Source organism: Homo sapiens, chromosome 1 (genome assembly GCF_000001405.40).
Source record: "Homo sapiens chromosome 1, GRCh38.p14 Primary Assembly".
Lineage (NCBI taxonomy): Eukaryota > Metazoa > Chordata > Mammalia > Primates > Hominidae > Homo > Homo sapiens.
Window position 1 is genome coordinate 58,905,041 of NC_000001.11, and position 16,043 is coordinate 58,921,083.

Below are 16,043 nucleotides of genomic sequence, written 5' to 3' on the forward strand. Positions count from 1 at the left end.
TTAATCCTTCCTTCCTTTCTTCTCTTGGTGCCCATAGTATGAGGTTGCACACACTTATTGCAGGTTGTGTCTCCCACCTGGGGAGTATGCCTGTCTAAGGCAGACGCCACATACTTTTTCACTCTTGAAGGGTCAATATGGTGTTGTGGTTAAGGGCACAGGCTTAGGAGCCCAACTGTCCAGTTTCAGATCTTGGCTTTACTACCTACTGGTTGTGAGCCTTAACCAAGTGACTTAACCCCTTTCAGCCTCACTGTCCTTATCTACAACATGGAGATTGACAATAAGATCAGCCTTGTGGGGTTGCTATAAGGATTGAATGAGTTAAGATATAGAAAGCAATTTGAACCTCTAAGTAATCAGATGTTCACTGAATGAAGACGGAATCGTGAAGGTCTTGAATGTTGCTTACTAAGATAGTGAGATAGAAAGCATGTTGCAGAGTTAAGAGCAGGAGTAGGTATCAGAGACCTAGGTTCTCATCCTGGCTCTGCCTTTAACTTTATGTTTGGATTGGGCCTGTTCCTCCCTCTGTCTGAATCTGTTTCCCCTTCTGCAAAATGATAAGTTTGGCTCCCGCTGCTAGATGACTTCAAAGGGTAATATTCAGTGTATTAATTCTGTGCCTCTAGGACTTTGCTTGTGTAATGTTCCCAGTTAGCGGTCACACTAAAAAATAAATGACTGGTTTGCCCCTGGAAGCATGAAGCTCAACCACTGGCTACCATGAACTCAGAGGTAGAGGATTGTACCAGTTTTGATAATTGCCAGCTTTTTCTGGGCAGGTCTTAGTGCCTGGCATTGGGCCAAGTGCCATCATTGTCTTGTTTAGTATTCTCAAGAACCCTGTAAAGAAGTCACTACTATGATCCCCTTTCTATAGCTGAGGAAACAGAGGCTAGAGGTTAACAAGCTTGTAACTAGTTGGGTGGGATGTAGGATCATCACTTGTCAGGCTTTGGCTCCCAAGGCCTGCAAGAATCCTCTCTAACACATGCCTGTTTCGATACCTCTGGGGACAAAGAACCTATTGTCTTTCAAGCCTGTTCATTATTAAGAATCCTGAACAGCCAAAAAGGGTACAGCTGCCTTTTTACGTGAGTTTCATTCATGACTTTGCACTTGGGCTCCAGGAAGACATGATTTGTATTAAGGGTTAAGAAAAGGGAGAATATGAATTCCACCAAGGGAGGGTCTCAGGAGTAGTTTACAATTGGGTGGCCAGAGGACAGAAGCCTCTGCTCCTACTTTTTTGGGCCTCACCCCCAGCCCCCACTGATGGGGTCCTGCCTGGGGACAGAGCTGTGGGATGCTAAGGAATTTCAGTACAGCCTTGATTGGGAGTGGGCTGAACTCAAAGCATCAGAAATGTGCATCTATAATTCCCAGTCAATTGAGATACATTTCCTTGGAGGTAGGGTTTGGAGTGTGGTGGAGGCAGCGAACACATTAGCAAAAAGTTAGGCTAAATCAGACCTGCAAAACTGGAGGGAGAAATTGGCTCCAGGTTTTATTCAGTTTACTGTCTTTAAAAACAAACAAACAAACAATGAAAAACCACAAATATCCTGCTCAAATAGCTCCCGAGGCTCACCTTTCCCAACAGGATGAAGTCCGGACTCCTTGGGGTGGCATTCAAGACCTTCCACAATCTAGTACTAACTCACCTTTTTCACGTTTTCTCCTACCACATTCCCAGCTCCACTCCCAGCCAGAGAATCTCGCATAGTCCCCTGAATACTCTAAGCTTGCTCTTGCTTCCATGCCTTTGCACATGCTATTCCTCCTGCCCCATAGCACACCACCACAGATGTCACATCTAGATGAAAACATCAATCCTGTGTTAAAATGCATTGGTTTTCCTCTCCCACTCCTGAATAGTCCCAGCTAAGAGAGAACCTTTGCTGCCTCTATGGAATTACAACTGCGAACACAGCTAAACAAATCAAAAAACACCAACTAGAAGCACTGAAGTTTGAAGCATTGAGTGGGTCCCCAAAGCATTATTGGAAGATCAAAACTTATAAGGTTGACTATCAGTGTGGTTTGGAAAGTCTTGAGTTGCTACCAAATGAATTTAAGGATAATACAACAATGTGTTCCTAAGTTGGAACAATTTGCCATATAGATGTTATGCTAAAATCCAGCAATAGGACTAAAAAGCATTGTTAGGGAAACATCTACAATTTTTTCAGAAAGTTAGCCAGGGTGGGGAAGGCTTCTCTGGAGCATTTTTAACATACTATCTTGTCACAGGTTTCAATAAGCATGAAATGCAATTCAGGGACCTGTTTTTCATGATATAAAAATCTTTGCACACAGTAAAATCACCATATCATCTGGTTTACCTAGGAGGTTCTGGTTTACACCCATTGTCCTGACATAATTGCCAATAGTTCCCCTTTTATTATCAGGTACCATAATTTGGAAAATAAATTATATTGTCACTCTAGCACTGGGTAACCAAACAAGAGCTTGTCTAAGTGGTTGCTTTCCCAAGGTTTTGCCATCTGTTGGACTCCAGTTCACGTTTCAAGACGCAGCCTCTGTCACTTCCTCTGTGACAGAATTAATCTGCACTCCCACAGCACTGGGTACTCACCTTCATTCACTCACAGATCCTCTTTGGCTTTGTCTCCACTGAGCACTGGGTCCCCTCAACTAGACCACATTGTGTTCTGTGCATCTCCTTGCACAAGTCGTGAGAACAGTAAGCTCTTAACTAGAGGCTGTGGAGTGAATTATTTTGGACAGAAATTTCCCCAAGAAGATTTGGTTTTGCTTTATTTTACTTTCAGTCACCAAAGGAATAAAAATGTTCCTAGGGACTTGTTAAGCCTTAACACTGAATATTGGAAAGGGGATATGCAATACAAATGCTTTCAAAAGGAAAGTCAATAAATATTTAGGAAAGTGACAAGAAGTGTTCAAACATGCTTGTTGTTGTTGCTAAATGTTAAAGCTTTATCAACCTTCTTTAATAGTTTTTAAATTTGTTTTTGTTTTTGTTTTTTGAAACAAAGTCTCACTCTGTCACCCAGGTTGGAGTGCAGTGGTGTGATCTCAGCTCACTGCAACCTCTGCCTCCTGAGTTCAAGCAATTCTCCTGTTTCAGCCTCCCAACTAGCTAGGACTACAGGTGCCCGCCATCATGCCTGGCTAATTTTTGTATTTTTATTAGAGACAGGGTTTCACCATATTGGTCAGGCTGGTCTTGAACTCCTGACCTCAGGTGATCCACCCTCCTCAGCCCAAAGTGCTGGGATTACAGGCATGAGCCACCGTGCCCGGCCTTTAATAGTTTTTTCTAAATTTAAAATTCTAGCAATAACTCTACTTGTATAAAAGAAACATTTTACTTTCTACTCTTTTGTATCCTTTAACAAGTATGTGTTGCTTTTTCTTTAACATGTATGTTTCTCTTTAAAACGTTTGTATCCCTTTTTAACTAGAAAATTTTTATTAGAAAAGATACAATTATTGAAACAAAAAATTAGTTTCCTAAGAGATTTGAGAGATCATTGAGATAAATCCTTTCATATTCCAGAGTGTGTGCTGGGCAGGAGGGTTGAAAGGGAAGGAGGAAAAACTAAGAAACTAATGGGACCCAAAGAATTTAAGGTATTCAGCAGAAGCCTCACAAGCAATAAGTGGCAAAGTCAATACTGGAACCCAGTTCTCTGAATCCATGTCTCTTGATCCTTGCACAACACTTCTCAAATTTCTTTGGACTGGCAAAAGGCATTTGAGCAGAGATACTCTTGTCATCCCTGGAGTTAGAATGTGAGCTCCATGCCTCAACTAGGATTATTTGGATGAAGTTAAACCATGCACAGCTCCAAATTCAAAGGAGTCAAGGAGAAAATTTATCCATGAATAAGGGTTTATATCACCTTACTTGCTGAGTGACCTTGGTCAGGTTACTTAACCTCTCTGAGGCTTAGTTTTCCTGTCTTTCATATGGTGCTAACAGTATGTTTCTTGTAGGATTTGGCGAGGTTTCAATGAAATAGTGTGCATAAAGTACTTACCAGTTTTTAGAGGGAAACGTTCAATAAATTATAGGCATTATAATAATTATTATTATTGCTGCTCTGCTACCCAGACTTGTATTGAAGGAGAACTTATTAATTTCAAATAGGCACTATGTAGACAGTTCTTCCTGCCCTAACGCTCAGGTGCCAATTCCATAAGCACTTTGACTTAAGAAATCTGTTTTCTGAGGAGGTGGTGATTGAAATGGGGATCATGTATAGAGGAGCCTGCATGACTGGTCTCCCTGTCACCAGGCATTTTCCTGTTTCCTAGATTCCTTGATATCACTTTTTTTTTTTTTTTTTGGCTTGGGCTTTGCAAAACTTCCTGGTGGGTAGTTTTAGTCATCCTTCCTAGCAGTTTGCAAGAGTATGTTATGAAGCTGGAAATCATTTAAAAAATGTCCTGATGTGTCAGAAAAAGGGAAGAAGAAGGATGATGGCTCCTCTTGTTCATTCATTTGAAATATTGATTACTAGTTCCTCTTTCTTTAATCTTTAATGGAGATTTTCTTTTCTTTTTCTCTTGTCTTCACAGACTTCTATTTACCATTGAAAAGAAAAGCAACCATAATACCCTGGCATCTACAAAGGAGAACCATTTACTTAAGCATCTACCTACTCGTTTGACATATGTTATTAAATACTTACTGCATTAGGCCCTGTGCTAGGCAATGACATACAGACATGAAGGTTACATAAACTTGTTTATGAAACATGGACTCTTACAGACCTGGGTTCAAATCTCTGCTTTGTCCATTTCTAAAGATTGGATCTCAGGCAGGTTAGCTACTTATCTCTCTGAACCAACTCCTTCTCTCAGATTCCCTGTCTCAGCCATGGCATCACCGTCATCTTTTTGTCCCAGTTTAGAAAGCTCAGAATGATTTTATTCTCCCCCTGAACCCTCTACCTAATGTTCTGTCCATCACCCAGCAATGCACAATTTAATTCCTAAATATTCATTGAATGTATCTTCCCCTACATCTCCAATTTATTTAACAAATATTTATTGAGGGCCTGCTCTGTCCCAGGCCCTCTGCTGGCACAGGGATACCTGTCCCTAAGGAGCTCCCTGGCTGGTCAGGTGCATCCATAAATACACAATTTCTCAATAGCAAATGGGTGTAGCGATAATAAAAGCCCACTTTTATTGCACGCTTAATCACTGCTGGACACTGTTCTAAGAGCATTATATACATTAAACCACTTAATCATCACAATAACCCTAAGAGATAGGTGATATTAGTATCTTTACCTTATAGATAAGGAAACCAAGACAACAGAGTGAATAAACAACTTGGCCAAAGTCACACAACTCACTAGCAGTGGAGGAAGGTGCAATGGCTTATAAAGTTGGCTTAAAAGCTATAGCTGTAACCACTAGTGAGCTCAGGTTCTGCTTTGAGGGCATTGGAGAGGGGTCCCTGGGGAGGAGCTCCTAACCATATTAAAGGTCCTTCTTTGAGCTGTTGTCTATGCTGAGCCTTACAATGTGAGTAGGGTTTAGCCAGAACAATTCTCCCCATCCCCCCACACCCTGCTCTGTGGGCCTCACCTTGACCAGTTTCTTCATTGATCCCACTCTTGTTGGTCCATTCTTCTCACATGTGTCACAGTGAGCTTTCTAATCAAATCTGATCATATTATTACTACTTTTTTTTTCTTTTACTTTTTCTTCTTTAGATACAAGGTCTTGCTCTAATGCCCAGGTTGGAGTACAGTGGCGGAATCATAGCTCACTACAGCCTCAACCTCCTGGGCTCAGTCGATCCTCCTATCTCAGCCTCTTGAGTGGTTGAGTGGCTGGGACTACAAGCATGCACCACCACAACCCACTAATTTTTAAAATAATTTTTTTGTAAAGATGGGGCTCTCCTTACGTTGCCCAGGCTGGTCTCGACCTCCTGGACTCAAATGATCCTCCTACCTCAGCCTCCCAAAGTGCTGGAATTATAGGTGTGAGCCACTTTGCCTAGCTTTAATGTTTTGGAATGTCTTTCCATCATCCACAGGATAGAGTCTAAACTCCTCAGCATGATCATGAGGCCTCCACAATGTGGCCATGTGGCCCACCTAACTCCCAGCCTTGCCCTACCCTTCCTGCCTTCAGCCACACCCACTCACTGGTAGGCCCACTTCTGCCTCCATCTGTGTCAGATTCTATCCCTCAGCTCCTATGAGGCTTTCCACCCTCATCTTTCTAGGATACCTTCCTGGATCCCACAGGCAAAGTTAACTACTCTCAATAGTACAACCCACCACACCCCAAATACATGTATTTTAGCTCTTCTCCTTCTGAGTTAGAACAGTTGACTTTTGAATCCGTCTACTTTATTATATAGTGAGCCCCTTGAAGGGTATTTCCCAGATCCTAACAGGGCCTGGTACTAGTGAATCCTTAGCATGAATGAATGAATGAATGAGTAAATGAATGAATATTAAGAACCAGGACCAGACTTTAAGCTTTTTTATCTGTTGCAGCTCATAGCATAATGCTGAGGACGTTCAGTATCCAGTCAAATATTGATTTTCCTTTTACACATCTATGGGGTACAATCATGCCCCAACAGAACTAGAAAAGGGAAAATACTATCCATAAAGTCAAAACTGTATCATGAGAAATGCGCTGGACAGGTGGCCAGGAGATCTGGGATTGTCGTCCAGGCCCTATCACCAACTAACATGTGACCTTGGGCAGGATATTAACCCCCATTTCCTCAGCTATAATACTGCCATGAAAAGTCTAAAAGGGCGTGAGTGCTGAAGAAATTTGTAAACTGTAAAGCACTGGGCAAGCCAGAGACATCACTGGCTTCATTCCTCCAGCTACTCTCCAAGGATTAATCTAAAGGGTATACTCAGCGCTACTGCAGGCCATGGGGCAAGCCTTTCTCACCCTTTCTCCTCTTCTTGGCCTGAGTCCAGGAAGATTTCCATCTGTACCTTGTCTGCAAGCCAGACTCTGAACCTAGGGTTTGGAAAAACAGGCAGGTTATATTCATCCAGGTGTATCCTGTATACATACTGAGCTGTAAAGCCAAGTTTGTTCTCAGAATAAAGTGAGCACACATATGTGCGTGTATGTGTATGTGTGCTGCTTTCATTAGCACAGCAAGGTTCAGCACAATAGAGGCAGCTGTGGAGTAGTGGCAAGAGCTCTGAACTTGACATCATTTAGGTCTTAATTTCACCATTGTCATTCCTGCGCACGCTGAGCGACTTTTGTTATATTCTTAACCTCTTACGGCCTCCCTCCCTCCTCTCTAAAATGAGGTAATGCATTTGCCGTAGATTCATTGTAAAGATTACACAAGGAATGTAAGGTGGCTAGCACAGTGCCTGGTATATAGTACATAGTACATATATATTTGTTTGTTGATTTCTATTTCTATTAATAATAATTATAACTAACATTTTGTATGCATTTTCTATGCATCAGGCTTTATGCTAAGCATTTTACATGTGTTATATGGAGTAAGTCTCATGACAACCTTAAAAAATAGATACAGTTGATCCTTGAACAACACAGTTTGAACAGCAAGGGTCCATTTATATGCAGATTTTCACCCACCTCTGCACATCTCAGACAGCAAGATCAACTCCTCCCTTCTACCTCCCCTTCAGCCTACTCAACATGAAGACAAAAAGGATGAAGACATTTATTATGATCCACTTCCACTTAATGAATAGTAAATATATTTTCTTTTCCTTATGATTTTCTTAGCAATATGTGCTTTTCTCTAGCTTACTTTATTGTAAGAATACAGTATATACTAATAGTACATATAACATACAAAATATGTGTTAATTGACTGTTTGTATTATTGGCAAGATTTCTAGTCAAAAGTAGGCTACTAGAAGTTAAATTTTTGAGGAGTCAAAAGTTATACGTGGATTTTCAATTGTGCAGGGGGTTGGCGCCCCTAATCCCCATGTTGTTCTTCAGTCAACTGTATTGTTATTCTTCCTTATAGACTAGAAGACTGACACTCTGATGGGTTAAGCTGCTACCCCAAGGTCAGAATAGAGCTGGTAATTAGAGGAACCAGGGCTCAGATACATTTCTCTATATTCTAAAGCAATGCTTTTGGGACTTCTAATGAAATATGTCTGTTTAAGTCAACATTTTTGCCCTTATTACCAGGAAATTATACTAAAGGGACAATAAAAATAGGAGGGAAAGTAGAAGACTCAAATAATAGAAGTATAAGCTTAATTACATAAGTATCCATATAAACAGACACACTAAGGAAAATGTTGTTGACTGAAATGGGTTTGTTAAGAAGGAGGAAGATAAGCACACTAATTGTGTCATCATTTATAATGAACTAGCAGATAGTGTCCAAAAAGTAGAGAGAACTAAGGATGTTTTATAAATATATAAACTGGTAACCACTAAAATAGAAATGTAACCCATCTTAAATAGCAGAGAAAGCACAAACAAAAAACAAAATAGAGCTGTTTTTATAGTAAATGACATACATACGTCCATAAATGCAAGCTAGACTGACTTCTGATTCCAGCCAACATGAATAAGAGGGACTGGATTATTTTCACACTTGGAACAACCAAAAATACCGAAGTATATGAAATAATGGCTGTTAAGACACTGGACACCAGGCAATAAAGAACAGCAATCCCTAAAATAAAGGAAACAAATGAGGTGAGCCTACAACTGCTTCAGTTTACTGCCTGGAGGCAGTGTTCAGGCTGTGACATAAGGAAGGGACCCAGACAGAGTCCAGCAGACTTCTGGAGTAGAGGAGATGAAACTGAGAGTTCAGAGAGACCATGGTAGACAGAATTCACAGGACAGAGTACTGGAGAGGATAAAGCCACAGGGAGAGAAGGCTTCAAAGATCCACAGAAGATTCTGGTCAGCATACACATGTGAGGAAGCTATCCAAAGCTGGGGGAAGAACCCAACAAAAGGATTAGAGGGAAAAATACCCATCGCTGCCATACTTGTGACTAACTCATGGGTCAGAGAAGAAATCAGAAGGAAATTATGAAGTATTTCAAACTGAATGAAAATCAGAATACCATACATTAAAATTTGTGGAATGCTGCTAAACAGTACTTAGGGAAAATTCATAGCACTAACCACCTATATTAGTAAAGAAGAAAGTTCCAAATCAATGACTTCAGCTTCCACCTTAAGAAACTAGGAACAGAAGAGCAAATCAAAACCAAAGTGCGTGGAAAAAAGAAATGGGTAAAAATCAGAATGACAGTCAATATAATAGAAAATAGAAAGATAATGAAGAAAATCAGTGAAACTGAAAACTGGTTCTTTGAGAAAAATCAAGAAACCTCTGGGAACTTAGATAAAATGGAAAAATTCCTGGAAAGACGCGAACTATCAAACCTCACTTGAGAAGAAATAGGTAACCTGAATTGCCCTAAATCTAGTAAGAAAACTGAGTTTGTAGTTGAAAATCTCCCCACAAATATAATTCCAATTCCAATTGGTTTCACTGATGAATTCTACCAAACACTTAAGGAAGAAACATAAATTTGACACAGACATCCTGAAAACTGAAAAGGAGAGAATACTTTACAACTTATTTTAAGATTCCATAACTACCCTGATACCAAAGCCAAATATGTTAAAATGAAAAAAAAAAGACAAACAAAAAAACTACAGACCAATATCCATAATGAATACAAATCAAAAAATTCTAAATAAAATTTTAGCAAATTGAATCCAACAATATATGAAAACAATAATACCTATGCCCAAATGGAGTTTATTCAAGGAATAAAAATTTTGTTTAATATTAGAAATCAGTTAATAACATTTATTTTATTAACAAGGCAAAAAATAATAATCATGCTTATCTCAATAGATGAGACATCCATTCTTGACAAAATCTCTAAGTAAATTAAGACTAGAAGGGAACTTCCTCAACTTGATAAAGAGCATATAAGAAAAATGTACACCTAACATTATACTTAATGGTGAAAGACTAAGTGTGTTCTCCCTAATATTGGGAAAAAGACAATGACATCTACTCTCATCACTTCTATTCAACATTGTAATGGAGTTTTTGTCCAATGCAATAAGGCAAGAAAAAGAAATAAAGGGAATCCAGATTGGGGAAAAAAAAATAAAACTCTTTATTCTCAAAAACATGATTGGGCTGAGTGCAGTGGCTCATGCCTGTAATCCCAGTACTTTGGGAGCTCATGGAGGGCAGATCACTTGAGGTCAGAAGTTTGAGACTAGCCTGGCCAACATGGTGAAATCCTGTCTCTACCAAAAATACAAACATTAGCTGGGCGTGGTGGCACGTGCTTGTAGTCCCAGCTACTTGGTAGGCTGAGGCATGAAAATCACTTGAACCTGGGAGGTGGAGGTTGCAGTGAGCAGGGATTGTGACACTGCACTCCAGCCTAGGTGACAGAGTGAGACCCTGTCTCAAAAACAAAAACCAAAAAAACCCATGATTGCCTAGTAAGAAAATCTGATGGAAAAGAGAAAAGTAGTACTAGAACTAATAAGTGAGTTCAGCAAGATTTCAGGATACAGGATTAATATTGGATTAAAATTATATTTTTATATCATAGCAATGAACATTGAACATTCAAGTTGTAGAAAATAACCTTTACAATAGCATCAAATAATGTGAAGTACTCAGGGAGAAGTCTGACAGAAGATGTCAGACACTGTACACTGACAACTACAAAACATTGCTGGGAGAAATTACTGAAGACAATAAAATGGAGAGACGCACCTTATTCATGGATCCAAAGACTCAATATTTTTAAGAGGTAAGTTCCCCCCAGATTGATCTAGATTCATTCTAAAACTTATATAGAAATGTAAAAGACCTTGGACATCCAAAATGACTTTGAAAAAGAACGATATTGGAGAGCTAGCAGTACCTGATTTCAAAGTACATTATAAAACTGCAGTGATCAGAACAATGTAGTATTGATGCAATGATAGACAAACAGATCAGTGGAACAGAATATAGAATCAAGAAGTAGATCCATAGATATATGGGCAGCTGATTTTTGACAAAGATGCAAAGGCAATTTAGTGTTTTCAACAAATGGTTCTAGAACAATTGGATAATCTCTATGAAAAAATATTGATGTTTGACCTATACTTGCATCACACAAAAACATTAACTAAAAATGGATCATAGACCCAAGTGTGAAACTAAAATTTATAAAACTTCTAGAACAAAACATAAGAGAAAACAAAGGTTTCTCACATACAATATCAAAAGCATAAAAGGTCCATAAAAGATCAAATTAATAAATTAGACTTCATACAAAATTAAAAACTTATTTTTGAAAGACACTGTTAAGAGAATGAAAAGACAAGCTACAAACTGGAAGAAAATATGTGTAAAGCATATATCTGATAAAAAGACTTATATAGAGACTATATAAATAATTCTCAAAATGTAGTAATAAGAAAACAAAGGGACCAAAAGATCTGAACAGGCACTTCACCAAGGGAAATACATGGATGGCAAATAAGCATATGAAAAGATACTCAGCACCATTAGAGGAAAGCAAATTCAAACTACAATGAAATACCACTACACACCTATTAGAATCACTGAGGCTAGAAAGACTGACCATCTCAAGTATAGGTAAGGGTGTGGAACAAGCAGAACGCTCATATACTGATGGTGGGAATGTAAAATAGTGCAACCACTTTGGAAAAGAGTTTGGCAGTTTCCTAAAATGTTAAATATATGCCTACCTTATGAGTCATTCCACTGCTGGGTACTACCCAAGAGAAAAACAAGTATATGTTCATACAAATACTTGTATACAAATGTTTATCACAGCTATATTTGTAATAGCTAAAAATGGAAAACAACACAAATGTTTATCAACAGGAAAATGGGTAAATGAATTATAGTATATCCATACAACAGAATACTATTTAGCAATACAAAGAAAAACATGCAGTATTATGGATGGATAGCAAAACTATGCTGAGTGAGAAGAAAGTCAGACAAAACAAGGGTACATATTGTATGATTACATTGATAGAAAAATCTAGAAAATGCAACTAAAACTATAGTGATAGAAGGCAGATCCTTAGTTGCTGAGGGTAAGGTGGGTGGGGCAGGATGGTGGGAAGTGAACTAGGATGGGAGGGAGAGATTGCAAAAGGAAATTTTGGGTGTGATGGGTATGCTCCCCATCTAGAGTATGGTGATGACTGCATGGATATATATGTATGTCAAAACTTATTACAAGTATATACTTTAAAATATGTTTACTTAATCATTTATAAATTACATTTCAATAAAGTTATTACAAAAATATATTTCTTTAAAATTAAAATGTATATAAAGCTGGGAATATAAAATTAAATGACAAACATAAAACTAAAACATAAAATTAAATGACAAAAATAAAAGCTAAACATAGCTCTTATATTAATAAGTATGAATGGACTTTAATTCACTTTACTAAGAGAAATACTGTCAGACCGGATCATAAAGCAAAACCCCAAATTGCCCAAAAAGATTAAGAAAATAAGATGATGAGAAAATGTATAATAGACAAATTCAAACATAAAGAACGCTGAGGTTGCCATTTCATATGAGAAACTGCGGAATTCAGGTTAAAGAAAAAAAAAAACTAAAACAGACAAGGAGGGGTATGCAACAATGATGAAGTGTGAAATTCACAACGAGGCTACAAGAATTTTGAAAATCTATACCCAAAATAACACAGCAGAAATATTCATAAAGCTGTAAGAAGACATTAACAACAACATAATCATGGTACAAAATTAACAACAAAATAATCATGGTACAAAAATGTAACCTATTTTCTCAATCCCTGATAGATCAAGTGGATGGATAAATAAATAAATACATGCATAAGTAAATAAAATACATAATTAAATGTAACAAAGACCTAAATAACAAATATAAAGCCAATTTCATTGATATGTTTCAAACGATATACTCTGAAAATAGAGATCACATTTTATATTGTTTTCAAATGTTCATTTTATACTCATAAAAATTTATCATATATTAGCTGCCCAAACCTCGAACATTCCAAAATGCAGAGATACTCATGGTAATATTCTCTTCTTACAAAGCAACCAAACAAGAAAGTTATAATAAAATTTAAAAATTAATTTAGTGATGTACATACTTCATTTAAATAACTTCTAATTTAGACAGACAAGTTTAAAAACAACATTAATGAAAATATTATATATCAAAACCATGAGATACCATAAAGCAGTCTCAGAGGAAAATTCATACCTCAGTACTTACATTAATTAAAAAGTACAGAAACAGATAGACCAAACATATGTTAAAAATATAGGAAAAGAGGCTGGACGCAGTGGCTCACGCCTGTAATCCTAGCACTTTGGGAGGCTGAGGTGGATCACTTGAGCTCAGGAGTTCAAGCCTGGACAACACGGTGGACAACATGGACAATCAGCCTGGACAATATGGTGAAATCCCGTCTCTACTAAAAATACAAAAAATTAGCCAGGCAAGGTGGCAGGAGCCTGTAATCCCAGCTATCGGGGAGGGAGAGGCACAGAAATTGCTTGAACCCAGGAAGCGGAGGTTGCAGTGAGCTGAGATCACACCACTTCACTCCAGCCTGGGCGACAGAACAAGACTCTATCTCCAAAACAAAAGAAAAAAAAATTAGAAAAAGAATAATAAACTTTTTTATTTATTTCCAAATAATAAACTTATTTATTTATTTCTAAATAACAAACTTATTTATTCGGAAAAATAAGTTTTTCCAAATAAACTGTTGGAAAAGAGAAGGAAGAGTGACAGTTAAGCTGAGATTCAAAAAAAGAGGAGTGGCCAGGTGCAGTGGCTTAGGCCTGTAATCCCAGCACTTTGGGAGGCCGAGGCGGGTGGATCATGAGGTCAAGAGATAGAGACCATCCTGGCCAACACGATGAAACCCCGTCTCTACTACAAAATACAAAAATTAGCTGGGCGTGGTGGTGTGTGCCTGTAGTCCCAGCTACTCTGGAGGCTGAGGCAGGAGAATCGCTTGAACCCGGGAGGTGGAGGTTGCAGTGAGCCAAGATCATGCCACTGCACTCCAGCCTGGGCAACAGAGCGAGACTGTGTCTAAAAAACAAAACAAAACAAATGAGGAGTGAGCAGAAGGAGAATGGATGGATGGGCTGAGCTGAAGGAAAAGCAAGTACAGTCACAAAGAATGGAAAGAATGCTAATGTGTCTGGAGCTTAGAGGACCAGGGGTATAGGCCAAAGGGAGGTGAAGGGGTAGAGCATGCAGGACCACAGGGGCCATAAGGAGCGTGAAGGCTATCCTGCCTGCACAGGGCCACGTGGACATGATCTATGCAGTGGCACTACAGAAGTGGATTCACATGTTAGCAGGATTGCTTTGGCTGCGGGGCAGGGAAATGGACGGGAGGCGGTGAAGGAAGCAGGAGACTAGGCATAACATTATACATAGAGGACGAAGATGGTGCCTGGCCTGGAGGCATGGACAGGTACCCCTTGCCTGATGTTCACAGTCAAACCAGCCTTCCAGAATTGGGTTCAGCTCCAGAAGTGGCACTTCCAGAAAGCCTACAGCAAACTTGAGACTCTCTAGCTGAGCACCAGAACACCAAAGTATGTAAGAGTTTGAGAGCAAGTGAAGCGGGTGACCCAAACAACCCAGGCTATCTGGCTTGTAAACACAGAAACCAGAAATCATCATGGCCTCCCTCATTCTGAGTGAGGGGGCTGCCATGTCTCAGAGTCCATGCCGTCCCCACAGAAGCTTCCAGGTTCCAAGAAAAGGCCAAGTAGAGGCTGAAGGTTTCTGGGCTTTCCCGAGGAGTTACTGAGATTGATTTCTTTTGAAGGAGTGCAGACTCTTCCCTGCTGCCCCTTCTTTTTATAAAGGCATCAATCGTTTGAGTCACTTGGGAATAAAACTGTTGTTGTGGAGAAGATTTCTGTGGGCGCCCGAGTAGGAGTTGGGATGGCTGCTGTCAGGGGATGGGAGAACATATGGTGGTCTGTTGTGAATGTGATCTGTTTTTTGTGTTGTTGTTAAACTTCCTCTTGTTAGCATTGGGCCAGTTATGTAAGAGCTTGAGGGTCCATATGGTTTGTTGCATAAGACGCCAAAGAGGAACATGGTTTGCCATTGCCTTGCAGCTACTCCAATTGTGAATTTAAAAAATGTGGCCACAGTGTTATATTTGGGCAATGGAGTCAAGTAGTCCTGGATTTGAATATCAGTTCCACCACTGGTTAGCTGTATGACCCTGGGTAAGTTACCTAACCTCTCTGAAACTTAAACTCTCAAAGACTCAATAGCCTTCTTGCAAAATGGAGAAAACAGTACGTACTTCATATAGCTGTTAAGAGGATACAGTAATGCTAAATGACGAGTTAACGGGTGCGGCACACCAGCATGGCACATATATACATATGTAATTAGCCTGCACATTGTGCACATGTACCCTAAAACTTAAAGTATAATAATAATAAAATAAAAAAAGAGGATACAGAATTAATAATGCTAGTTACAATGTATTGAGTATCCCAAATTTGCAATACTGTGTGCTTTACAAATATTGCTTTGTTTAAACCTCACAGAAATCCTTGGAAGTAGCTGTTACTCTTTTTATGTTTCAAAGAGGAAACTGAGGAGCAAAGTGATGGAATGGCTTCCCTCATCTAATAGGAAGCTGTGGAGCTAAGATTCAAACATATGTTCCTGCCAAGAAGAGCTATTGACATTGGGCCTCACTGTCTCCAGTGCTGGTGAAGCACTAGGCACATAACAGGTGCCAAGTCAATGTGATCCTAGACTATAGGCTTCATGAGGCAAGACATTTGGACAATTTTGTTCACTACTGCATCCCCAGGTTTAAAAACCGTGCTGGGTGCAGAGTAGGCATTCAGTAATAACTTTTGGACTAAATAAATGGATTCTGCATTTATGGCATAGCTGTCAGTTCTGGAGGTGGAGCTGCTTGGGTTTGAATCCCAACTCTGCCATTTACTAG